We start from the raw sequence: 27,803 nt of genomic DNA, 5'->3' as shown, positions 1-27,803 counted from the left end.
CCACTGTGTGGCTATATTATTATCTGTTTAATTAGACCCTTATTGATGAACATTTAGACTATTTTGAAAGGTTGCTATGTTATACAATCCTACAAAGAATGGACTTGCACAAGAGTAAATGTTTTTATAATTGATGCGTATTGTCAATTTGGCATGATATCAACCAAAATTGAGGCCAGAGTGAGAGACTGATGGTGCCAATCAGTGTGCGTGGGCTGCAGTTGCAATAAAGTTGCTCTCAGACACTCAATTCACTTTAATGGACACCATTTATAAATTCATTTTACACCTTCTGTGGACCTGCACCTTTTTCCATCTTTGACTTGGTCATGGGCTGTGACTCAGATTGTTTTGCAGCACCCTGGTGAAGTAATCTTCCCAATGAATAGCAACTAACAAGCAATTTAATATTTATGGGATCACGCTCTAAAATCCCTCATTGGCAAAAATTTACTTAATGATATAGATGTAATCATCAAAAACACAGTAACATGGAAATCTATTGACAGATAAAACAAGTGATTGACAAAGCTGAAAAATCCTTCACTGTTCCGCCATCTTAATGTTACATTTGCCAACAGTGGACCTTGCAACTATCAGATGGAAGACAAGCTGTTTCAGCAAAGAAATGTGACACTCACAAAGACAGATTGGCCAGTTTCTTTTCATACGAACATTTTCATTGATTTTTCCATTATTGAGTGTTTGCTCAAAGGCCCTTCATCACAAAGGGTTTTATAAATATCACATTTACTTCATTCATACTTTTAAAGATTTAGACCTCTCTGGAGAGAAAATATTTTTCTTTTAGAAGTCATGGCTTTAAAATATAAGCATAGCATGTCTTCATTCTTATAGCATAGTGGCAGAGAGACAAGACATGTTCCCAAAAGACAAAAACAGAGGCACTCATAATAGTACACCCCAAAGCAGTTTGTGGTACTGGCCTAAGAAAAGCTCTCAAAGAGCAGAAAGAGATCTGAAAAGCGTGACGCCTGAGCCTTCCACCCAGACTCCCAGAGCTTTTTCTGGCCCTCCAGGTCCCTGCCATCTCTACCGGCCTGTGGCTCTAGAAGGCACTTACTAGACAGTAAGTCAAAAGGTCCAGATCCCAGAGAGTCAAGATTTTGAGCCAGAAAAGAGCAGTCTCAAGGAATCATGTAAAGCCTCTTTTGGCCAGTACAAAATATAAAGGCATGAAAACAGGGGAAATGAGTTGGACTCAGACTGGGGAGACCCTGAAATGCCAGATTTGTGAGAATCAAGTAAAGTTATTCCACAAGAGGATTGGTCCCAAAGAGTGATTCCATATGAAAATACCTAATCAGGGACCTTGGGGAGGAAGTAATCTTAATAGCCATTTTATAAATGGGCACACACAAGCCTGGATGAGAAATATTAGAATTAGGACTAGATAGTGGCCGATTTCCAGGTCTGTGCTTCAGCTATCTAGCAGGCATGGCTACTTACAGGGCTCAAAAGATTTACAAACACATTAGGAAGTCTCAGCAGAGCCAAAAGCCAGGCGTGCTCCCCATTCCCAGGCCTGGTCTCCTTCACAGAAAGGCTACAACAAAACTGAGCCGTTGGCCTCCAGCCCCATCATGAATCAAGTACAGTGAGAATGCTTCATGAGCTGAGTCCAAACAAGCTCCCGCTGGGGCCTACAGACCAGCTCCTAATTAATAGGCTCTTGGCCCACAAGTAACAGTAAAAAAATGTTTGCAACAATGAAAGGAAGACAAAGAGGGAGGGGGCTCACAAAGAAAGCAGAAGGGAAAATTATGATGGGAAGATGAATCCAGGTCTCAAGTTAGCTAGCTGAGCCATAACTCAAATCTGTGTTTATTTGTTCAAGTCAGATGTGAACAACTACATAAATTTGATTCCTGGTTTTGTAATTCAGCCTACACAGCAAAATCTGAGAAAGCAGCTGTGTTGATAGGTTTCAAAAATACAGACAAATCTCCATCCGTTAATATTTTGCTCATGCCAGCTTGAGGCACAGCTAGTGCTAAGGCCTGGGAGAGTTCACCCAGAGGTGGGGAGTTGCAGGGGAACCAGACAGAGATGGAGAAGTGAGGAGACTGCCCTGACAATCTGGCTTCTGAGTGTCACTCTGAGATTCCTAAATGGATACGCCTTCTGGGAACTCTTTCTTCTCCTCACTTTCAGAGGATTCAGGACCACAGTCCAGACAGGGCTTGGGGTTGCTGTCTAAAGTGCTGGCAGATTAGAAAAGGGTGCCAGGAGCATAGAAAACAAGAGACTCCTTTAGAATAATCAGGAACACGACTTCAGAACGTTTGGAATCTTCCATTTGTTTTCACATTTGATGTGCCTTCCTGTTGCCCATCTTTTGGCATAAATTTTCTGGCACACTCTAGCCTGATCATGTCTTCATATACTAGAGAAATTTGTAATAAGGAACATTAGTTTTCAGAGACCAGTTATCAGGACAGTCAATGACAGACTTCCCATCGACAAGTGGTCAGCATTCTTAAAATGTGTGAGTTGGAGTTTTGGAACCAACAACACCTTTTTTTTTTTTTCTTTTGAGACACAACCTCACTCTGTTGCCCAGGCTGGAGTGCAGTGGTGTGATCTTGGCTCACTGCAACCCCGCCTCTTAGGTTCATGCAATTCTCCTGCCTCAGCCTCCTGAGTAGCTGGGATTACAGGCGTGCACCACCATGCCCGGGTAATTTTTGTATTTTTTGTAGAGACAGCATTTCACCATGTAGGCCAGACTGGTCTCAAACTCCTGACCTCAAGTAATCCACCCACCTCGGTCGGCCTCTCGAAGTGCTGGGATTACAGGTGTGAGCCACAGCACCCGGCCAATAACACCTTTTGTGATAGAAACAGTGTTGGCCAGACACGGTGGCTCATGCCTGTAATCCCACACTTTCAGAGGCCGATGTGGGCAGATCACCTGAGGTCAGGAGTTCGAGACCAGCCTGGCCAACATGGTGAAACCCCACCTCTACTAAAAATACAAAAATTAGCCAGGCATGGTGGCACACACCTGTAATCCCAGCTACTCAGGAGGCTGAGGCAGGAGAATCGCTTGAACCTGGGAGATGGAGGTTGCAGTGAACCGAGGTTGTGCCATTGCACTCCAACCTGGGTGACAGAGCAAGACTCCTCAAAAAAAAAAAAACAAAGAAAAAAGAAAAAGAAACAGTGTTACAAGTGGAGATTAAGTCCCTGTGCTAGTTCACAAAGTCTATTTAATAAAGTTCCTAAATATCGTGTGTGCATTTGAAATGAAAATCTATAATATTGGAAATAACTTTTTGTCAAAATTTTTATTTTATTTTATTTTTTTTTGAGATGGAGTCTCCTCTATTGCCGAGGCTGGAGTGCAGTGGTTTGATCTCTGCTCACTGCAACCTCCGCCTACACGGTTCAAGTGATTCTCCTGCCTCAGCCTCCTGAGTGGCTGGGATTACAGGCACGTGCCACCATGCCTGGTTAAATTTTTTTGTATTTTTAGTAGAGATGGGGTTTCACCATGTTGGTCAGGCTGGTCTTGAACTCTTGACCTGGTGATCCACCCGCCTCAGCCTCCCAAAGTGCTGGGATTACAGGCGTGAACCACCTCGTCTGTCCCAAATTATGTTTTACTTGTGGATTATGCTTGAAGTAAAATTACAAAGGCTATCGTGGGAAATCAACTTATGATAGTGTCTTCAAGGCAAAAGGGGTTCTGAATTCCATCTCACTTGGAGATGGAACTTGGAACTTGGGAGAAAGTCACACACAAAACACACGTACACACACCCCAAGCAGCAGAACATGTCCATTCAGGGACAATTTTTTTTCCGGGGGGTGCCAGTAGGAGAACAAGGCTGGTGGTTCTCATGTGTAAGATATTTCTAGGATATTTCTATATCAGAGATTTTTAATTTGGAAAAAAAAAGCCTATTTAATTTCTTAAATGGTAAAGAAAGTTTTAAGTCAAATTTATATCTTTCCTAATACATTTCCTCCTAAGGCTTTAATCTTGCATGGTTCCCACACCAGCCGGCTGGGCTGGCCCTTCCTTCCGAGACGCAACAGAGCACACTGGTCCTGCTCCTGGCTCGTCCTTACCAACTGGGTGACTTTGGACCTGGCAACCTCATTTACCTACTCCTTAACCCAATCAAATTAAAAATGAGGACGGTGATCTCTGATAAGTCAACCTTATAGAGTCATGGTGAGCTCTAAATGAACTAATAATACCGCCTTCCTTTTCTGTAATACTTTAGTTTTTTAAATACATTCGCACATTTTATTCTCCTGCCAATTTAGGGAGAAAAGAAAAAACCTAACTATTTAGACTTTAACATCCTCCAAGGGCCCGAAACAGAAGGAAATAAGTAACAGTCCCAGAGTACTTGGCAACTCCTGTACCCACCCATCACACCACTGCCTGCCTCCACCTCTTTCTTGTTGGCCTAACAACCAGCTGGAAAAATAACTGGGAAAAACACTGTATTTCTTGTTTCTTCTTCAATAACTCGCTCAAGTGCATAAAGAAGCCCCAAGTTTTGATTGTGGAGAGTTAAGAAGAATGTTATTCTCACTCACTTTCACAAATGTTTCCCTTGGCCAGGCGAGGTGGCTCACGCCCGTTATCCCAGCACTTTGGGAGGCCAAGGCAAGAGGATCACTTGTGGCCAGGAGCTCAAGACCAGCCTGCACAACATAGCGAGACCCTATCTCTATTTTTTTTTTTTTAAAGAAAAATCAATAAATTTCCCTACATTGCCAGTGACAGGCACAGGATCTAACCCAGGTGTACCCATCCAGGTATTGCTTGTGCTTAGCTGGTTCATGGAAAATCAAAGAGTCCCTCTTCCTTCAGCAGGTGGCAACATGCAGGCCTGCCTTCTGGCCACAACGTGCCAATTTCTTGCTCTCTCGACCTTCTTTATGGTGCCCTCAACTCACACCTGGATGGAGGCACAGCAACTGCACAAAAAAGTCACGACTCAAACGGCGGTCACTGAGACCACGCTTAACAGTGGAGTCACTGGGTTAATCATAAATCATGGTTGTCCTCGCCTAGTCTTTAAGACCAGAGTTCGCCCTTCTCAAAGCAAGTCCACGTCCTCCCTTTGAGTAATGGGTCTGACAACCCGAACTCAAACACAAGCCTGCCCACCACGCAGACTTATCAGGGCTGCCCGCAGGGCGCGGGAAGGCGCAGGGAGAGAACAAGGGCCCCTGCCGCAGGGTCGGGCATTATCGGCGGGACAGGGCCACCGCTTGTTTTCCTTTCGCTGAGCGTGTGAACTGGTGCCCGTGTACAGTACCAGGCGGTGTAAAAGGTGGTTGCTGGGCCCCTCTGTTTGTGAGGGCTGTTGACACAAGGTTGGGTCCGGGTGATGAAGGCTGATTCCCGCCCTATTTTTCTGATAGCCATAAATGAGAGAAATTCTACAGGCCCCTTTGCCCGGAGCTTGGGAGTTCCATCTTGCTGGGGAAGGAGGCTTTTTGCATCCTGGGAAGAGCTGAGCTTTCCCCTTCAGTGGAACGAGAGCACGTCAAAGAAAAGGGGTTTTGGCGGGACACGGTGGCTCATGCCTGTAATCCCAGCACTTTGGGAGGCCTAGGCGGGTGGATCACTTGAGGTCAGGAGTTTGAGACCAGCCTGGCCAACATGGTGAAACCCTGTCTCTACTAAAAATACAAAAATTAGCCAGGCGTGATGGCGTGTGCCTGTAGTCCCAGCTACTCCGGAGGCTGAGGCATGAGAATCGCTTGAACCTGGGAGGCAGAGATTGCAGTGCAACAGAGGGAGACTCTGTTTAAAATAAATAAATAAATAAATAAATAAAAGAGGCAGGGAGTGGTGGCTCACACCTGTAATCCCAGCACTTTGGGAGGCCGAGGTGGGTGGATCACCTGACGTCAGGAGTTCGATACCAGCCTGGCAAACATGGTGAAACCCTGTCTCTACTAAAAATACAAAAATTAGCTGGGTGTGGTGGTGCACACTTGTAATCCCTCCTACTCAGGAGGCTGGGTCAAGATAATCACTTGAACCCGGGAGAAGGAGGTTGCAGTGAGCTGAGATCATGCCACTGCACTCCAGCGTGGGCAACAGAGAGACTGGGTCTCCCCTCCCACTGCCACAAAAAAAAAAAAAAAAAAAAAAAGCCGGGTGCAGTGGCTCACACCTGTAATCCCAACACTTTGGGAGGCCGAGGTGGGCAGATCACGAGGTCAGGAGATTGAGACCATCCTGGCTAACACGGTTAGAGAATGGCATGAACCTGGGAGGCGGAGCTTGCCAGTGAGCTGAGATCACACCACCACACTCCAGCCTGGGCAACCAAGCAAGACTCCGTCTCAAAAAAAAAAAAAAAAAAAAAAAAGGGAAAGGAAAGGGGTTTTAGTGAAATATCACATGCAACAGTACCACGGAGAAAAGGCACTAAGAACTTGAGAACTGCTGCAGAGAGGGGGGCCTATGGCTCTTCAGCCAAACACTTGTCTTACCCTGGGGCCTATAAGACAGACTAAGGAAGGGCCTGTTCCCCAAGCAGAACTTTAGCTCTAAGGCCAGACCATGCCTTGAAGTATCTCCCATTTTCTACAGTAATTCACCTGACCCAGGGACTCGTGAGGAAGTTACTTGGATTTTGCTGCCTATAGTCCCTCTGGGAGTAAATGCAGTATTTACTCCAATTAAAAATACCACACGGCCTACCTGACCTGATTCAGGGCTATTGGCATATATTTTGGAAATTAACCTTATTCCTAGCCTAAATTTCTCCTTCCTACCTAAATTTTCTGTTTTCTTGTGGTACAGTTGTGTAGTTGTGAGCTGCTTATAATTCATACTGGAAAGGGGTGAGCCATAAGTCCAAAGTAAAATACTTCTAGAAAGGAGCTTTACATGCCCTTCCAGGACAGAATTTCCAACAGTTCTACGGGAAGTCCTTCAAGCTGTGTTAAGACTATGATGAATTTGGCAGAGGAATTTGGCAGTGGTATCAGGTTTTAGGGACTTTGGGAAATTGGGAGAGATCTAATTTTCCTCTGGGTCAAAATACAAGTCAGGGCTCCGCATCTTTTTTGAGCTAGCTTGGGCTTTGGGCTCAGGCTCAAATCCCAGCCCCTTCACTTACTAGTTTATATCCTGGGCACATGACTTAACTTCTCTGAGGCTAAGGTTTGCTCTCCATGACTATGTAGGTCATATCCACAAAGGGTTATTGAGTTCATGCATGTGACTGTCCCTGGCACAGCACACAGGAGGTTAACAGATTTTCCAATCCTCCTTTCTTTTGTTTTCAAGCTACTCTCTTTTTCAACTTGCAACCATGTATTTTCTTTAAAATGTATCACAGCATCAGGCCAGAAAACAAATAGCACCTAATTTGCCACCAATGGAAAGAGCATTTTGTTCACTGGTATATTCATGTGGGAGCTAGTGTAGTGGTTAAGAGAGCAATTTAGAGAGCCAGGCAGTCTGGATTCCAATGTGAGTTCCACGTACAAGCTCCAGGCCTTGGGCCCAATACCTAATCTCACTAGGCCTCAGTTGCTTCATCTATAAACTGGTGATAGTATTATACACATCATACACGTTTGAAGAATCAAATGAGATAATCCAAGTGAAGTGCTTCATTTAGTGCTTGGCATATATTAGGTTGGTGCAAAAGTAATTGCTCTTTTTCCAATTACTTTTAACGGCAAAAACCACAATGGCTTTCACACCAACCTAATGATAAGCATCCAGGGAATGTTAGCTATGGTTAGTGTTTAGTATGATATAATTATTGTTGCAGTTATTGTTGGTTTTACTATTATTGTAATATGGTATCATCATTATTCATACTGGGAACAACAAAAAATTGGTTTAGCTACTTGAATCTCAAATTTACTTCCATAATCTTTACTAATAATTGTACTAGTCTTGATAAAAAATGTGTCCCTCTCTACCTCCTATAGGTCAGTAGCAATTTGATAATATTATATGTTGTTACTTAATTAGAGTCAGGCATTGTGCTAAGTGCTTTCCATGAATTATCTCATTGAATCCGCATAGCAACCTGTAAACTCAGTTATTTATTGCCCCATTTCACAGCCAAGAAAAAAGGTTTAGTGAGAGGAGGTCACACTGGAAGTGGCAGATGAGAGAAGTCCCTACACCAGCTGAGCCTCAGGGGCTGAAAGGATTAGACTGAAAATGATCTCCAAGATTCCCACCCAGCACCATCATCTATTATTTTAAATTAATAATAGTTTTGCTTTATTACCATCTGCCGTATATGTGAATTTATTCATTTGGATGGAGTCTAATGTATAAAGAAAGCTATTGTGACTTTTAGAAAAGACTTTGCTCTAGCAAATTCTACGTAAATAGGCTGATTTCTTTCAGTGTCTCTTGGCTCCATGCTCCCAAAGCCTTGGAAGAACTTTTCCTCCATGTCCAGCACACTATCTCCTTCTTACACGCTCCCAGCCTTCCTAACTTCCACCTTCTGCCAACAGTGTCCACACCTCCCCTCCTCCCCCTGCCATCCCTACACCCAGACCCGCGGCGCATTCCATCTGCCGCCAAGTCCTCACAGCTATTTCTGTCAACGTTATCAAGACCCAAATCCGACCAGCAACACTCCTCACTTGGAGTCCAAAGTCACTTCAGAAAGGCCGGAGAACTCTACAGATGTAAGCTGCTGCTATTATCCTCTCCATATAGATCTGTACACTGATTATTTGTTCCTTGAGGACAGGAATTTTAAACGTTAACATACATGCAAATTACTGAGGGATCTCATTAAATGCAGATTCTGCTTAGGTTACTCTGGGGTGGGGCCTGAGGTTCTGCATTTTGACAGCTCCCTGGATGCTGCTGGTCCCAGACTACACCCTTATCTCAGTTATAGCTCTCAACACCCCTTCAAGGAAGGAATATTGCTCACATTTTATAAATGATCAATGGGCAAGAGAGGTTAAGAGATGTATCCAAGGCCCCAGAGCCGGCGGGTAGCAAAGCTGGGATCTGAACCCAGCTAGATCTTTCTGACTCCATACAACAAAAAAGAAAATAAAATAAAACAAAAAAGAGTATACACACACACACACACACACACACACACACACACACAGAGTTATGTATACGTCTGTATAATGATATCAAACATATTTCATTCTTTATCTCATTTTAACAGCATGACCCTCATAAATGCCTAGAGAAATTTTCAGTCCTGCATGTTGTCAGAACTTAATAAACATTCAATCCGTATGTGGAGTAGGAATGTCTGGGACCTGTTGCTTGGGAGGCCTCTTCCTTTCCTTATAAGCAGACTCATGAAGATCTTTCCTAAAGGTTTCCCTGGGGACTCTATACTTTACTTCTGTTACTGATTAAACTTATTGACTCTAGCACTTTTTTTTGCCTCTAGCAATCCAGTCCCATAGAGAAGCTGACAGATACGTGTTTCCCAATTAGTTTGAATTATGAAAGTAAGGGTGTGAATAATAGCGACCACTAGTGGTGAGTCAGTGCCATCTCACGAAGTAGAAACAGGACGTTGTTAAGTCAGCAAAAAAAAGGGGATGCAGCCTTGCTTCTCCAAGGAGGGTAGCTCCTCTGCGGCAGCCATGAGCCAGTCCAACACTGGCTGCCTTTTCAGGGCCCTGGAATCCAGTTGGAAGATGTGTGTAGGGTCGGAAGGAGGAACAGGAAGATACAAATTAAACAGAAAACACAAAACGAAGCAGCAAACACACAAAAGATGATTACTGGGCAGCTCTCCTGTGAGGGGAGAGTGGACGTCATAGGAGGCTGAAGGAGGTGCTCCCGGGAGCTGGGTAGACAGGAAGGTATCGTGAGGAGGCAGGACTTCAGCTGGGACTTGAAGGGAGAATGGGATTTGGAGATAATGGCATTCCAGGTGGAAGTCATGGGCCACCCAGACAGAGGCCCAGGAGATAGGGGAGTGAACCAAGGTATTCTCAGGATGGAGTGGAGGTGGGAGGGATCCCAGCCCATGAGACAGGGCAGAGAAATCTGGGTGGGCGGCCTGCTTAGTGGAGAGTTGATTACCCGGCCAGGGACTGTGGCCATCACACAGTCGGGGAATGACTTGAGGGAGACAGCAGGTCAGGGAGTAAGTAGTAGACAGGCCATCTACAGCCAGGCAAAGTGGCTTTGGACCCTGACTTCACTCCGTAATAGGTACAAAATAGGAAGGGACACACCTGTTTGAACTTTAGGTACCTCTATTTGTTACTTGGGCTTGATAGGTATTGTCCCAGCGCTTTTCTGGGGCCCCTCCTGGCATCAGAGAACAGGAATCAAGTCCAAACAGGCCTGGAGAGGCAGATACACCAGGCCCTTTCCCAATCACCTGTCACAGCTCTCTGCCCAGGGCCTTTTAGAGAGGCCAAACAGGAACAAAGACAGGGGTGCCACTAGCCACCCCGGGTAGGACACTTCTGTCCTTTGTGGGATATAAGCCAGAGGTCCAAATGAAGGATATTTAGTTTGCCTTTTTGCTAACAGATTAGATGAACAAATAGTACAAGGCCTCCCAGAACAATGAGCCCAAGAAAGGGCTGGGCCAGAACGGACTTGAGTCTGGGGTTCCTGACTCCCAAAGCACAAGGCCCAAAGGCCGCCTGGGTGAAAGGTCTGAGTCAGCCTGGGAGGGACCCGCAGCTGCTCAGGGCTGCTCCTTCTTGGGTGATTTCAAAAGCTACTCCTGGCCTCCAGCTCAGAGGACTGTGTGCCTTCAAGGATTCATTATTCAGTAAGAAGTCAGATGCTATTTGGAAAACAAACATTTCCTGCATATCCATCCAAGTGGGACACTTTAACATAAGAACACTATCTATCATCACAACAGCCCTGTCATTTAGGTATTTTTAATCCACAATTTACAAATGAAGACATTAAGCTCAGAGAATTTGATCCAAGTTTCAGAGCTGGTAAGCCACAGCTCCAGCATTCAATCCTTGGTCTCATTCCTTCCCAGCCCACCGTTTTTATCCAAGATGCCTCAATGACCTCTTCCCTGCAAGAGCCTGCCTTGAGGCTTCCGGGAGTTTTGTCCATCAAAGCTTTCTTGGCTCTGTTTTCACAGTTTGGGAAATGGTACCAACACAGGCATTTCTTCCTACTGTTTGCCCATCATGACCCACCCACTGTTGCCTCCTTAGACTGCTCCTGTGCTATTCCCAGGAGAAATATTACTGCTACTACCACTACTACTAATACAAATGATCTTCACATATTGAGTTTCTACGGTGTGCTGAGCACATGAGTTTATAAATATATGGTCTTATTTAACCCTATAATTATACCTTTTTTTTTTTTTTTTTTTTTGAGACAGTCTCACTCTGTTGCCCAGGCTGGAGTGCAGTGGCCCAATCTCAGCTCACTGCAACCTCTGCCTCCCGGGTTCAAGCAATTCTCCTGCCTCAGCCTCCCGAGTAGCTGGGACTACAGGCTCACACCACCATACCCAGCTAATTTTTGTGTTTTAGTAGAGATGGGGTTTCACCCTGTTGGCCAGGCTGGTCTCAAATTCCTGAGCTCAAGTGATCTGCCCGCCTTGGCCTCCCAAAGTACTGGGATTATAGGCGTGAGCCACTGCTCCCGGCTTATACCTATTTTCTATATTAGGATCCGAAAACACAGAGAGATAAACCCACTTGCCCAAGATCACCCAAGTAGTAAGTGGTGAAACTGGGATTTGGACGCATGACCTCTGACTTCAGAGCATGTGAGTTTAAGCACTGGATTCAATACACATATGTACACACCCAACCTGTTCTCCCTATTTCCTGTCTTGATCATTTTGGAAATAATTGAAACAGGAAATAAATGTGACAAATAAACTTGTCGCAGGTCCTTTCCTTGAGAACTAACATCACCATCTACCCATCAACCCCGTGGCTCTAGCCAAATATCTAAGAGTCATCTTGATTCGTATATATATATTTTTTTTCCTTTTTTTTGAGACAGAGACTCACTCTGTCACCCAGGCTGCAGTGCAGTGGCACAATCTCGGCTCACTGCAACCTCCACCTCCCGGGCTCAAGCGATTCTCCTGCCTCAGCCTCCCCAGTAGCTGGGATTAGAGGTGCCTCCCACCACACCCAGTTAATTTTTGTATTTTTAGTAGAGACGGGGTTTCACCAGATTGGCCAGGCTGGTCTTGAACTCCTGCCCTCAAGTGATCCTCCCGCCTCAGCCTCCCAAAGTGCTGGGATTACAGGCATGAGCCACTACACTCAGCCTTGATTCAGTGTATTTTCACATACTGATAATTATAAAGCAGGCAGAGTCTTATTTAAACCTGTGATTATTCTATGTAACAGAATTTTAATCCATTAGCATGGTGATTATTCTTCCTGAGTGGGAGACACTAGTCTCTGTTTGGTCTTTAGCCATGAAACACCTTTATACACATCACACTAAATCTCATTCTCTGCAACAAGCGCTGTCCCTCCTCTGAACGCGTGAGCCATCCAGCCTAAAACAAAGAGAAACTTTTATGACTAGCCACATTGTTTTCACTTTTAAACAAACCTACAGAAAAGAACACTCATTATCAATGTATTTGTTAATTGTAAATTGCTATCATCAAACCTAACAAGGTTTGGGCCTTTCAAGTGTTGGGAGCTTGGAATTTGGGAAGCCAGGATTGGGGCTGGAGGAGGAGGTGGCATTCTTAAAGAGATGGAAGGATCTTATCCATCTGATCAAAGAATCCAATCAAAGAACAAACTTCCTAATCTTTAACGATCCATGCATACCTTAGTGAGGACAGCAAAATGCAAAATAAATTATTATGTTAAAATTGACTGGCATGAAATTCTCATGGCGGGAAGAGAAATGGAAACCCTGGCTCACCCATGGCCTGCTCATATCCTCAGCTCGGCCAATGGGAAGTGCATTCCCAGCATCCTTGTGGTCTCCATGATGTGATCGAGGCCAGCAGTGTCCCCTCTGAGTGGCAGCTGTGCAGCGTCGAAGCCCCTCTGATGTCTACAGGACTCACCTGCTGCATCCTCTGCAAACTGCAAAGGATAAAAAGACACTGTCTGACCCTCCAGTGCTGCACCACCAGCCTCGCTGCACTTCCATTCCTCCATATTGTAAATACTCCCTTTACTTAGCTGACAGCTTCAATTTTTTTTCTTTTTTTCCCCAAGACGGAGTCTAGCTCTGTCGCCTAGGCTGGGGTGCAATGGCACGATCTCGGCTCACTGCAACCTCTGCCTCCCAGGTTCAAGCAATTCTCCTTCCTCAGCCTCCCCAGTAGCTGGGATTACAGGCATCTGCCACTATGCCTGGCTAATTTTTGTATTTTTAGTAAAGACAGGGTTTCACTGTGTTGACCAGGCTGTTCTCTAACTCCTGACCTTGTGATCCACCCGCCTCGGCTCCCAAAGTGCTGGGATTACAAGCATGAGCCACCGCGCCCAGCCAACATCGTCAATTTTTAAGTATTTGGAGCCAGGCAGCCTTCTGGTGTCAAAGACCTGGAGTGCTAGAAGAAGCTATCAGCTCCCACGAAACCAGTGTGGTCATGGTGTGATTTTGAAAAGCCCCTTGGCTCCTACCTTAAGAAGCCCTCAGAGTCTAGGAGAATGGAGTTGCCAAATGGCATAGAAACAGCGATTGTTCTGTGCTGTCTGTTACACCACTGTTTGCACAGTGGTTCTCTATGCCCATGAAATGACACCCACCAGCCAAGCAACAGAAGTAGCTGCTGCTTGGAGCCGGTGCAAAACTGAGCTGCTCGGCAAGTATAGAAAGCCCTTTTCTCTGAAAACAATATTCTGAAGTATTTGTCAAAATACTGTTATGAATCTTTTAAATTTTACAAAGCTGGCTGGGCATGGTGATTCACAGCTACGATCCCACCTTGGGAGGCTGAAGTGGGAGGATTGCCTGAGGCCAGGAGTTCAAGATGAGCCTGGGTAACACAGTGAAAACAAATAAATTAAAAATAAATGTTGAAAAATTTGAGCTGGGCATGGTGGCATACACCTGTAGTCCCAGCTACTCAGGAGGCTGAGGCAGGAGGATTGCTTGAGCCCAGGAGTTTCAGGCTGCAGTGAGCTATTAGTGCACCACTGCACTCCAGCCTGGGTGACAAAGGAAGACTCTGTCTCAAAAAAAAAAAAAAAAAAAAGCAAAAAAAGACAACGCCTTTACAAAGCTATTTTTCTTTTACAGAGATAACCATGTTAAGAGTGAAAGGTTAGGCCAGGCACAGTGGCTCACACCTGTAATCCCAGCACTTTGGGAGGCTGAGGCAGATGGATCCCTTGAGTCCAGGAGTTTGAGACCAGCCTGGGCAACATGGTGAAACCCTGTCTCTACAAAGAAAAAAAAAACCCACAAAAATTATCTAGGTGTGGTGGCTTGTGCCTCCCAGCTACTTGGGAGGCTGAGCTGGGAGAATCACTTGAGCCCAGGAGGTGGAGGTTGCGGTGAGCCCAGATCATGCCACTGTACTCCAGCCTGGGCCACAGAGTGAAACTCTGTCTCAAAAAAAAAAAAAAAGGTGAAAGGGTAAATGTACCCTGTCAGGTATTGTTCCACTAAATGTTACAAGATACTTGACTACGACTTTATTTTAACTAAGGGCTAACCTCAAAAACTGATAGCCATCTTAAAATGAAGATGACAAGCATTCCATCCTCAAATAATCTAAAATGTATTCCCAATCAGAAGATCAGTAGGTTTTACCAATATTAACATTTCTATCCTTTCCCTAATTGATTGTTTATTTAGCTGAAGGCCTCTATGTGTGATATGCTACTGGCATATCAAAAGAGGGTTATTTGTTTTTGAACCTGCATGGTGATTAATTCTGCATTTTCATTCTTTTTTTGCAGGGTAGGGAGAAGTATGAGTATAGTGTATTGGAAAGAGAGTTTTGAAAACAGAAGGATCTTAATGCAAATCCAGATTGAACCATTTCCCTCTTTGTGGTCTGGGCAAGTTCATTTCACCCCTCTGAGCCACAGTCTGTTTTTCTAACTTCTGTCACAGGTTCCAGCAGTGATTAAGTAAAATTACAAATTTGGGAGCCCGCCACGTAATAGGAGCCCTTTACCTTTTCTAATTATTTCTTACATGGTAAGCATCCCTAATAAGTATTCACACCTGGTTTGTGGAGTCTACCTGCATGCCTCAGGTGACGTGAGAACATGGTTCACGTGAGGTCTGATCTCACAGGGCGGTGCTGGCCAGGCCCAGCATTGCAAAGATTCCTTCTATTATTCCCAGATTCTTCTCATTTTTTTAACACTCTTTGCCCTTTTCCCTAGGTCAAATGGAAGGGTATGATCCCTACAATAAAGCACAGACTTATTTTTTCCATAGGCCTGTCAAATACTCCCCGATAGCCCCTGTTCTGTCCCAAGGAATGATGTAGCAACTCCTTAAGAATTCCTACCCAGCATTCTTACTAGTGAAACCTGAGTTGGTCATTACAACTATTTTTGTGGGATTTTAAAAAATCAGATCTAAATAACAAGCAAACATGTAACCGTGCATTTGTGCTATCCTTAGATTGTTATGGTTAAAAAGGGATAATTGATTTTAAGTTAAATATTCCTCATATCCTGATCCACCCCTCAAGTACTAGCTTTAATATTTTATAGACTACATGGTCCGACCTATTGACCCAGGTCCTGATGTGCCCACGGACAAGCCGGAAGGGCCATCCTTCCCACTGGCTTTGCAATCTGGAGGCTGACAACCACCCAGCCTGCCACCCATCAAAGTCCCTGCTGGTGACTCTCTCCCCCAGCAAGCTGCCTCCCTTCCCCCACTTTCCCAAACATCTTGGGCATCTCAAACAATCCAATTACACTCAGGTTGTTTAAACAAACAGCAGCACAATTCCCCAGCCCAGAGCCCCAACTGAGGGATTCCCTTGGGCCGACTCTCACCACCTCCACCCCCAACCACAAGCCACTTTCAGAGAAGAGCAGCCCTGAGCAGAGACAATGAGCTCTGGGTTAACAGTGGGTAGTTTTCCATGTCTAAATGTTTGCAGACACTTGGTAAAGTGTCCCAGGCCAAGTTTCCAAAGGACAATACCTCCACACCACTGAGTTTGTTTAAGCAGGCAATCCCAGATAAGAAGGGGGTTGCCCCTCCTCTTCAAAAGCCAAGAATGCAAGATGGGCTGGAGGCAATGCTGTGGGAGGTTGGGACAAATTCCACTGGAACAAGGAATACTTGAGTCCCTCTCTCCACTCCCACCCTCCCTTAAAATAATAGATTTACCCTAAAGGAAAGGTGAAGTCAGGAGATTGGTGGAGTTTTTCTAAGTATTTCACAAATAAGACAGCTGGGACAAGGCAGAGTGCTATTTACAATGCCACAGCTGAGCTGGATTTAGAAGATGCAAGGCATGGTGGTGGGTGCCTGTAGTTCCAGCTACTCGGGAGGCTGAGGCAGGAGAATAATGTGAACCCAGGAGGCGGAGCTTGCAGTGAGCTGAGACCAGGCCACTGCATTCCAGCCTGGGCAACAGAGCGAGACTCCATCTCAAAAAAAAAGAAAAAAAAAAAAGAAGATGCAAAGGTTGCTTACAGTTTCTCACTGAGCAGGCATTCAGTCCCTGCAGAAGGACTGACTACCTTCCCCACTGGGCATTTCACATCATGTAAAATGCCAGTCAATGCCCAATGCCTTACATTTTTTGTTGAAAAGCAAAAGAACCAACCATTCTTATCTCCAGGCCAATTCTGAAGGGCTGCCACCAAACTTGTAAGGACCATCACTCGCCCAACAAATATGTCTAGATCATCCACTTAGAACAAATCCATAATGGTACAGGGGCAGCGAATAGAGGCAATATCTAGTTTCACATGTGATAGAAAGTGGCGTCTTATTTATTTATGTATTTATTTATTTTGTAGAGACAGGGTCTCCCTATGTTGTCCAGGCTGGTCTCGAACTCCTGGCCTCAAGTGATCCTCCCACTTTGGCCTCCCAAAGTGCTGGGATTACAGGCATGAGTCACTACATCTGACGGGTAAGTGTCTTAAAAGAAGAGCAAGCAAAGACTCTGGAAGCTCAGAGAAGAGACGGCTTCTGGCTGAGAGGAGGTGAGCTGATCAGAGAAAGCTTCACAGGGAAGAGGTGTTTGAGTCAGCCCTTGAACCGGTAGGAAGGGTGAAGATGAAAGCCAGCTCCCTCATCAGGCCATGGATAGGCTCTTCCCACATATTTCTAGTTCTTTCTACGTCTCTGGAGCCTTCAGCCATTAAAACAGGTATTCTTATATTTTCTGGGTTACAGACCCTTTCAAGGGAATCCTTGAAAGCTGTGGATTCCCTCTCCAGAAGAATGTCCCAAAATATGGCATGCCATTTCAGCCAGTGCCCAGACTTATCCAGGGACTTCTGGTTAAGAATTCTTGGGATCAAATGTTGCAGACCCATTTCTGCCCAGGGTCTGATAGGAGAATTGAGAGAAAAACAAAATTTCCATCTATCCGTTCTTTACACTTTTATTCTTATTTTTAAAATTAACTAATGTATTTGGTCTACAAAACCCTAAAGAAGAAAAGAAAGGGCTTGTTCACTTTCCATGTTATTTGAAAAGTCCATTGATCTAATGAGCGACATCTTGGGAGAAACCAGAAAGCCTTTTGTACCTTCTTTGGATTGCAAATTCTGAAGAAGGCTTTTCAAAAGCCCAAAAACTGACACTCCAAAAGTGGTTTTCACAAAAGAATCTAAATCAGACTTCAGCGTGTCACTTCTACAATATCTGGGAGCCACAAACATGGATAGAAAGGTCTGGCTTAATGGTGCGACACCAAGATGGCACTGAGCCTCACTCATCCTTTGCACACCAAACATGTTTGAATGAATAAATCACTGATTGAGGGAGTGGATGAGAAGTTTTATGACAGAACAAATGGGACAGACACACATGGAGTTTCGGTGAGAGTAAAAGTGTAGGTTGGCTAGGTGCGATGGCTCACGCCTGTAATCCCAGCACTTTGGGAGGCCAAGGCAGGTGGATCACCTGAGGTCAGGAGTTTGAAACCAGCCTGACCAACATGGAGAAAATCCGTCTCTACTAAAAATACAAAACATTAGCTGGGCATGGTGGCGCATGCCTATAATCCCAGTTACTCGGGAGGCTGAGGCAGGAGAATCGCTTGAACCCGGGAGGCGGAGGTTGCGGTGAGCCGAGATTGCGCCATTGCACTCCAGCCTGGACAACAAGAGTGAAACTCCGTCTCAAAAAACAAAAAAGTGTAGGTTACTTTATACTGTAGCTCATTCCAGAATACTGGATAAATAAAACAGATGTGGAAACAAACAGATGTGTATGTAAATAAAACAGATGTGTTAAATATTAATTTGAGCAACTACCTAAAATATATACAAGCTCATAATTTAAAGGTATTTGACTACAATTCCTGATATATCTGAAAAAAAAATTTTTTTTTTTTTGAGATAGAGTTTCGCTCTTGTTGCCCAGGCTGGAGTGCAATGGTGCGTTCTCGGCTCACCGCAACCTCTGCCTCCCGGCTTCAAGCAATTATTCTGCCTCAGACCCCCGAGTAGCTAGGATTACAGGCATGCACCACCACACCCAGCTAATTTTGTATTTTTAGTAGAGACAGGGTTTCACCATGTTGGTCAGTCTGGTCTCGAACTCCTGACCTCAAGTGATCCGCCCACCTCAGCCTCCCAGAGTGCTGGGATTACAGGCGTGAGCCACCGCACCCGGCTGAGAAATATTTTTAATTAAACCTTTGATATAAGTGTAAACTCACATGCAGTTGTAAGAAATAATGCTAAGAGATCCTGGGTACTCTCTAGCCAGTTTTTTGGGTACTGATTCTTCCCACTTTATTCTCTTTCAAGATTGTTTTAGCTATTCTAGTTCCTTTTCCTTTCCATCTATATTTTACAAGAATCAAAATGGTATATCTCCCACTGATAACATCCTGCAAAACTACAGCACAGTATTTCAACAGGGATATTGACAGCATTACAGAGAAGACATAGAATAGAATGGTTCCATCACTACGAGGATAACTCATACTGCCCTTCCCTTCCACCCCTACTACTTCCTTAATGTTTGGCAATACTAATCTGTCGTTTGTTTCCGTAATTTTTTCATTTCAAGAATATCATATGAATGGAATCATTTTGAGATTCGCTTTTTTCCCCAATACCCTTGAGATCCATCCAAGTTGTTGTGTGTCTCCACCCTCTGTTTCTTCTTATTGCTGAGTGGTATTTCATGGTATTGATGAACCGCAGTCTGTTTAACCAGTAACCTGTTGAAGGACATCTGGGTTGTTTCAGTTTTGCTATTAGGAATAAAGGTGCTACAAATATCCATGTACAAGTTTTTTTGTGAACATAAATTTTCATTTCCCTGGGATAAGTGCCCAGGAGTGTAATTGTTGAGTCACATCATAATTGCATACTTAGTTATCGAAGAAACTGACAAACTGCTTTACAGAGATGCTGAAGCATTTTACATTCCCATCAGCAAAGCATGCTGGTCTTCAGCACATCTTCACCTGCAGAAATAGTGTTATCAAAACGTTTTGTTTAAACATTCTGATAGGTGTGTGGTGATATCTCATTTTGGTTTTAATTTGTATTTTCATAATGGCTAATGGTGTTGAACATCCTTTCATGTGTTTATTTGCCATCTGTATGCCTTCTTTAGAGAAATGTCTCTTCTGATTGTCCATTTTTCAATTGGATTGTTTGATGGTTTTATTGTAGAGTTTTGAGGGTTCTTTATATATTCGAGATACTAGTCCTTTGCCAGATATGTGGTTTGCAAATATTCTGTCCCAGCTTCTAGCTTGTGTTTTCATCCTTTTCACGTGGTCTTTTATAGAGTAAAAGTTTTCAATTCTAATGAAGTACAGTTTATCAAGTTAAAAAAAATACCCAACTAATTTTTTAAAGTAGTTGGGTATATTTTTTAGAATTAAAAAAAAATAATTTTTTTATTTTTAATTTTAAAATTTTTTTCTACAACTTTTTATTTTTTCCTATAATTTTGATTTTTATATAAGGTGTGAGACTTGAGGTTCTTTTTGTTTTCTTTTGTTTTGTTTTTTGCCTATGGATGTCCAATTGCTCCAGCACTGTTTATAAAAGGCTATCTTTCACTGAATTGCTTTTGTACATTTGTTAAAAATTAGTTTTGTATATTTGTGTGAGTCTATTTCTGGGTTCTCTGTACCACTGATTTATGTACGTATGTCTCTGCCAATACTACACAATGTTGATTACTATGTATATTAAGTCCTAAGATCAGGTAAGTTGATCCCAGCACAGTGGCTCACACATGTGATCCTAGCACTTTGGGAGGCTGAGGCAAGAGGATCACTTGAGCCCAGGAGTTCAAAACCAGCCTAGGAAATATAGCAAGACCTCATCTCTATTTTTTTCTCTTTTTATTTTTACTTTTTATTTTTTGAGACAGAGTCTTGCTCTGTTGCCCAGGCTGGAGTGTAGTGGCACAATCTCGGCTCACTGCAACCTCCATCTCCGGGGTTCAAGTGATTCTCCTACCTCAGCCTTCCTAGTAGCTGGGATTATAGATGCACGCCACCATGCCTGACTAATTTTTGTATTTTTAGTAGAGACGGGGTTTCACCATGTTGGCCAGCCTGGTCTCGAACTCCTGACCTCAAGGGATCCACCAGACTCAGCCTCCCAAAGTGTTGGGATTACTGGCATAAGCCACTATGTCTGGCTTATTTTTTAAAAATAAAAAATAAATAAAATTAAAATCAGGTAGGTTGATTCTTCCCACTTTATTCTTTTACAAAATTGTTTTAACTATCCTAGGTCCTTTGTCTTTCCATATAAGTTTTAAAATAATCAAAATCCTGCTGGAATTTTGACAGGAATTACATTAAAGCTGTACTTCAGGCCAGGTGCGGTGGCTCACGCCTGTAATCCCAGCACTTTGGGAGGCCAAGGCAGGCAGATCATGAGGTCAGGAGATCGAGACCATCCTGGCTAACACAATGAAACTCCGTCTCTACTAAAAATACAAAAAATTAACCAGGCGCGGTAGCGCGGGTCTGTAGTCCCAGCTACTTGGGAGACTGAGGCAGGAGAATCACTTGAACCCGGGAGGTGGAGGTTGCAGTGAGCCGAGATCACGCCACTGCACTCCAGCCTGTGTGACAAAGCAAGACTCCATCTCAAAAAAAAAAAACAAAAAACAAACAAAAAAAAAACTGTACTTCAATTTGGGGAAAATTGACATTTACTATAAATGAATCTTCCAGTCCATGAGTGTGGTATTTCTCTCCATTTGTTTAGATCTTGTCTAATTTCCCTCATTAGCATTTTGTAGCTGTCAATATACAAATCCTATATATGTTTTTTCAGACTTCCTAAATATTTTTCTCTCTTTTTTTTTTTTTTCAGCCAGAGTCTCGCTCTGTTGCCCAGGCTGAAGTGCAGTGACACGATCTCGGCTCACTGCAACCTTCACCTCCTGGGTTCAAGTGATTCTCCTGCCTCAGGCCCCTGAGTAGCTGGGACTACAGGCGCACGCCACCACGCCCAGCTAATTTTTGTATTTTTAATCGAGATGGAGGTTTCACTATGTTGGCCAGGCTGGTCTCGAACTCCTGACCTTGTGATCCGCCCGTCTTGGCCTCCCTAAGTGCTGGGATTACAGGCGTGAGCCACCGCATCCAGCCTATTTCTTTTTTTGAGCGATTATAAATGGTGTAGTATTTTGTTGTTGTCGTTTCCATTGCTAGTATATAAAAATACAATTGATTTTCATGTGTCTATCCTGTATCCCATGACTTTGCTGAACTAATTTGTTTTAGTTCTAGAGGTTTTTGTTTTGTTTTTGTTTTTTAATTCTTTGGGATTTTCTATGTAGACAATTATGTTACCTGCAAATAAAGACAGTTTCCATTTTTTCTTTTTAACCTGTATGTCTTTTATTTCCTTCACCTGCCCTGTTGCACTGAGTAGCACTTCCAGAACTATGTTGAATGTGAGTAGTGACAGCACACATCCTTACCTTCTCCCCAGTGTTAGTCTTTGATTGTCAAGTATAATGTTAGTGGTGGATATTTTATAGATGTTCTTTATCAAATTGAGGAATTTCTCATCTCTTCCTATTTTTCTGAAAGATTTTTTTATCAGGAATAGGTACAGAATTTGTCAAATGCATTTAATGATAAATGGGTTAATATAAAGTTATTTTTCTTCTATAGCCTATTAATATGGTGGATTACATTGATTGGTTCATTTTACAAAGTTTGAACCAGTCTTGCATCCTACAATAAATACTACTTGGTCTTGGTGTTTAATTATTTTCATATATTGCTGAATTCTATTTGCTATTATTTTATCAACAATTTTTGAGGCCAGGTGCAGTGGCTCCTGCCTGTAATCCCAGCACTTTGTGAGGCCAAGGCAGGAGGATCACTTGCATCCAGGAGTTTGAGACCAGCCTGAGCAACATGGCGAAACCCCGTCTCCACAAACAATACAAAAATTAGCCCAGTGTGATGGCATGCACCTGCAGTCCCAGCAACTAGGGATGCTGAGGTGGGAGGGTTACTTGAGCCTGGGAGATTGAGGCTGCAGTGAGCCATGATAGTGCCACTGCACTCCAGCCTGGATGACAGAGCAAGACCCTTTCTCAAAAAAAAAAAAAAAAAGGATTTTTGAATTTGTATTCCCAAACGATATTGTTATGTAGTTTTCTTTTTTTGTCATTCTTTTTTTGGTTTTGTTATCAAGATTATACTAGCTTCATCAAATGTATCACGAAGTGTTCCCTCTTCTATTTTCTGGAAAAAATATTGTGTAGAATTGGTGTTACTTCTTTTTTCTTTCTTTTTTTAATTTGTGTGTGTGTGACAGGGTCTCACTCTGTTGCCCAGACTGGAGTGCAGTGGCACAATCGTGGCTCATTGCAGCCTCGACCTCACAGGCTCAAGTAATCCTCCCACCTCAGCCTCCCGAGTAGCTGAGACCACAGGTGTGTGTCACCACATCTGGCTAATTTTCTTCCTTTTTTTAGAGATGGGGGTCTCCTTATGTTGCCCAGGCTGCTCTTGAACTCCTGGGCTCAAGTGATCCTCCCACCTTGGCCTCCCAAAGTGCTGGGATTATAGGTGTGAGCCAGCACACCCAGCCTAATTCTTGTTTAAACATTTGATAGAATGCTCTGGCAAAACTATTTAGGTCTAAAGATTTGTGTGTATGTGTGTGTGTGTGTGTGTGTGTGTGTGTGTGTGAATGTCCTTAATAACTATAGAGCTAGTGAAATTATCTATTCCAACTTAGATGAGTTGAGGTTGTGTGTGTGTGTGTGTGTGTGTGTGTGTGTGTGCATTCTGAGATGGAGTCTCGCTCTGTCTCCAGGCTGGAGTGCAGTGGTGTGATCTTGGCTAACTTCAACCTCTGCCTCCTGGATTCAAGCGATTCTCCTGCCTCAGCCTCCCGAGTAGCTGGGACTACAGGCACGCACCACCATGCCCAGCTAATTTCTGTATTTTTAGTAGCGATGGGGTTTCACCATGTTGGCCAGGATGGTCTCAATCTCTTGACCTCGTCATCTGCCCGCCTCGGCCTCCCAAAGTGCTGGGATTACAGGTGTGAGCCACCGCACCCGGCCTGTAGTCTGTGTTTTTTGAGGAATCAGTACATTTTATCTAAGTCATCTCAGATCTAAATTTATGGATGCAGAGTTGTTTGCAGTATTCCCTTATTGTCTTTTTGATGTTTTCAAGACACGTAGTGAAAGCCCCTATTTCACTTCTGATAGTTGTAATTTGTGTCTTTTCTCTTCCTTGCTTTGTCTCTCCTTCTAGAGGTTTGTCAATTTTATTGATCTTTTTAAAAACCAACCATTGCTTCATTGATTTTCTTAATTGTTTTTCTGTTTTCAATTTCACTGATATCTACTTTTATCTTTATTGCTTCCTTCCCTCTGATTGGCATAGGTTTTTTCCCTCTTTTCTAGTGTAAGCTTTTTTTTTTTTGATACAGAGTCTTGCTATGTCACCCAGGCTGGAGTGCAGTGGCACAATCTCGGCTCACTGTGAGCTCCGCCTCCTGGGTTCACGCCATTCTCTTGCCACAGCCTCCCCAGCAACTGGGACAACAGGCACCCGCCACCCTGCCCGGCTACTTTTTTTGTATTTTTAGTAGAGACAGGGTTTCACCGTGTTAGCCAGGATGGTCTCGATCTCCTGACCTCGTGATCCGCCCGCCTTGGCCTCCCAAAGTGCTGGGATTACAGGCGTGAGAAACTGTGCCTGGCTAGTGTAAGCCTTTAATGCTATAAATTTTCCTCTCAGCACTGCCTTAGCTGTATCCCACAAATCTTGGTATATTTTATTTTCATTTTCACTCAGTTCAATATGTTTTTTAATTTCCCTTGACACTTCCAAAAAAAGACTTTCCTCTTTATGTTTAGTTTCCAAGTGTTTGGAGATTCTCCTGTTAACCTTTCTGGTATTGATTCCTAGTTTGATTCCATTGTGGTCATAAACACTCAGTATGATTTCGACTTTCTTTCTTTTAATTTAATTTAATTTTTTTTAGAAATCAGATCTTGCTGTATTGCCCAGACAGGAGTGTAGTGGCTATTCACAGGTGTGATCATAGCGTACTACAGCCTCACATTACTGTGGCCTCAAGCGATCCTCCCAAGTAGCTGGGACTACAGGTGCATGCCACCACGCCCTCAGTATAATTTCAATTCTTTTAATCATATCTTTATATGTATCTTTACATATATCATTAATGCATCTTTTTTTTTTTTTGAGACAGAGTCTCACTCTGTTGTCCAGGCTGTAGTGCAGTGGCGTGATCTTGGCTCACTGCAACGTCCGCCTCCCTGGTTCAAGCGATTCTCCTGCCTCAGCCTCCCAAGTAGCTGGGACTACAGCACGTGCCACCATGCCTGGCTAATTTTTTGGATTTTTAGTAGAGACAGGGTTTCACTGTGTTAGCCAGGATGGTCTCAATCTCCTGACCTTGTGATCCGCCTGCCTCGGCCTCCCGAAGTGCTGGGATTACAGGCATGAGCCACTGCACCCGGCCCATTAATGCATCTTTACACATATCTTTAAATGCATCTTTAATGTATTATATATTTTGTAAATTGGGTTTATTTTAATGTGGCCTACCAGTATCCCCAAGGGCTTGTTTGCGAGTACTTCCAGCTTCTGGCTTATCTGAAGACATTAGCTCCTTTAGACCTTTTATTAAATTGGGCTATTTTCCATAGCAAGCAACTGAGTTTTAGATTAAAAAGTCTTTTTCATCTGCAATAATGAAATTTTAAATGCCATCAGCTCTTTTTTTTTTTTTTTTCAAACGGAGTCTCACTCTGTTGCCCAGGCTGGAGTGCAGTGGCATGATCTCGGCTCACTGCAACCTCCACCTCCCAGGTTCAAGCAATTCTCCTGCCTCAACCTCCCAAGTAGCTGGGACTATAGGTGCGCACCACCACGCCCAGCTAATTTTTGTATTTTCAATAGAGACGGGGTTTCACCATGTTGGCCAGGATGGTCTCAATCTCTTGGCCTTGTGATCCGCCCACCTCGGCCTCCCATAGTGCTGCGATTACAGGCGTGAGACACCGCGCCCGGCCCAGCTCTTCTTTTGATGTTGCATCTTTTTTCTGCTCCACACTGTCCTCAAATGAGAGAGAATTGGGAGATGGCTAAGCCAAGGGTCCACGGGGGAGGACAATCTTCACTTTGCTAAAAGTCAACTAAGGAAGCTATAAAACATACCCCTGCTTTCCCCTCTCTATCAATCTTAGAGAGCCAAGCACAAGAAAAAAGCAAGATTAAGATCACTCTCTAAAAAAGCCCCTAGCTGGTAAGGAATGTAAACCTGGCAAAATATTTTCCAGGAAAATCTGTAACATCCAGAAGAGGGAGAGGGACAGGGAAAGTTTTCCATTTCTTCAATTGTCTTTTCCAATGCTTACTGCAGCCAGCTCCCCACAGTGATCTATTACCTCACTCTAGGCCTTGGAAGACCCTTGCTTCATTCTGCAGCCCAGGTGAGCTGGCCCCACACATCTTGCAATCTATATTTCCAAAATAACTTGTTCATCAACTCCTGTAAAAAATACAAGCCTGCACCCATACCTTTTACTGGATTCCTGGGAGCAGAGGGGATACCAATCCACTTCCAGAGGCTCTGATGAGTAGGCCAGGGATGTTTTCCCAGCGGAGACCCAACCCTCTGGCCCCTCCTGCTTTTCTCCCCAGCATAAACACAAAGCAGAGACCAAGCTCCCAGCAGGATGACCTATAAGTGACCCTTGGACTGACCTAACACTCTGGTCACTCTCACCGACAGATTTGTTTATCTTGGAACCTTGGAGGCTCTGCACCCAAAAGCTTTGGCCCTAGACTCTAAGTCCGCCCCCAGCAAACTGTCAGTCACAGCTTAAGTGCATGTTGGGCAGTTGCGTGATAGCCTGAGTTTATTTACCAGAACCTGATGTTTATGCTGTCCAGCAATGAGTAGGGGCCATCAGCTGCTGAATTTAGTAAGCGAGGAGCCAACTAGACGTCTCCAGTGGACATCAGCCTTCATGTCCACAAAATTATCCGGGGACCCCAATAGTGTGCCTCTCTTCCTCCACCCTCAGAAATTAGAGGTCCCCTGGAGATCCAAATTTGGCATCTCCATCCAAAGGAGGGATCTGTGTTCAGGCCATTTTCCTGAGAGCTTTTTTGTTAGTTAGTTTGTTTGTTTGTTTGTTTGTTTTTTGAGACGGAGTCTCACTCTGTCGCCCAGGCTGGAGTGCAGTGGTGTGATCTCGGCTCACTGCAACCTCTGCCTCCCGGGTTCAAGCAATTCTCCTGCCTCAGCCTCCCAAGGAGCTGGGATTACAGGCACGCGCCACCACACCCGGCTAACCAAGAGCTTATTTTTATGAAACTTATGTGGCACAGCTATATCTAAGGCGAGAAAGAAGCTTTAGCTTCTAACCCTTAGTGCATGATGAAAAGCAGCTTGTCTGAAAGTACCATGGGCGTTGTTTACAAATGAGAGTGACATCTTGATATTTACCTAAAGAGAGACAGATGCTTCCTAAGTTGTGGCACTGGAGGGAGTGATGATCAACAAATTCAGAGCAAAATGGAAATCAAATTTTTACCTTTTTTTTTCCTCTTTGCCCAGGCTGGAATTCTGTGGCACAGTCATAGCTTACTGCAGCCTCAAACCCCTGGGCTCAAGGAATCCTCCTGCCTCAGCCTCCTGAAAAGGTAGGACTACAGCCATGTGCCACTAATCCTGGATAATTTTTTGTAGAAACAAGGTCTCACTATATTGTCCAGTCTGGTCTCGAACTTCTGGCCTCAAGTGATCCTCCCACCTCAGCCTCCCAAAGTGTTTGGATTATAAGTGTGAGCCACCACATGCAGCCTGAATTTTTTTTTTTTTTTTTTGAAAAATACAGTCACTTAAGGAACCCCAATTGTACTCCTATTCACATTTCATTGGTAATCCCAAGGGGATTATGGCTGTTTGGAAGATTGAATTCATTCTTACTTAGACCCTCCCTACATAATGTCTTTAAGAATGCCTTTTTCAAATGGCTAAGTAAGGTAAACATGAACTTCTAAATAAATGAGGCCAAACCAAGAAAGATGACAAGGTTGATTACAGAGGTGGGCTTTTTTTCCTCCTCTTAGCAGAAGATTTTAAATAGATCTGAACCTTCAAGGAATGCTTTTATTTGGTAGACAAGATGAGGAGAATGAGAACTACCCCTTCAGAGGGCAGTGCAGAAAGGGGAC

At 43.9% G+C, this 27,803-nt stretch overlaps 1 long non-coding RNA gene across 1 annotated transcript, besides 1 other annotated feature; it reads right to left on the bottom strand.

The window, feature by feature from the left end:
• Window positions 1-12,320: 12,320 nt before the first annotated feature.
• LINC01900 (long intergenic non-protein coding RNA 1900) lies at window positions 12,321-26,204 on the bottom strand. Its single transcript, XR_001753529.2, has 3 exons — window positions 26,139-26,204; window positions 12,869-13,035; window positions 12,321-12,488 (listed from the first exon to the last, which is right to left on the bottom strand). It is a non-coding gene; the product is annotated as a long intergenic non-protein coding RNA 1900 (long non-coding RNA).
• Window positions 15,265-16,137: an enhancer, noted in NCBI's record as "NANOG-H3K27ac-H3K4me1 hESC enhancer chr18:19571122-19571994 (GRCh37/hg19 assembly coordinates)". NCBI's record gives its function as "activates a minimal SCP1, AML or CMV promoter by ChIP-STARR-seq in naive H9 embryonic stem cells {active_cell/tissue: H9 hESC(naive)}" and the evidence as "EXISTENCE:reporter gene assay evidence [ECO:0000049][PMID:30033119]".
• Window positions 26,205-27,803: the final 1,599 nt, after the last annotated feature.

The sequence above is a fragment of the Homo sapiens genome, chromosome 18 (genome assembly GCF_000001405.40).
Source record: "Homo sapiens chromosome 18, GRCh38.p14 Primary Assembly".
Lineage (NCBI taxonomy): Eukaryota > Metazoa > Chordata > Mammalia > Primates > Hominidae > Homo > Homo sapiens.
This window is presented reverse-complemented; position numbering and strand designations above follow the sequence as displayed.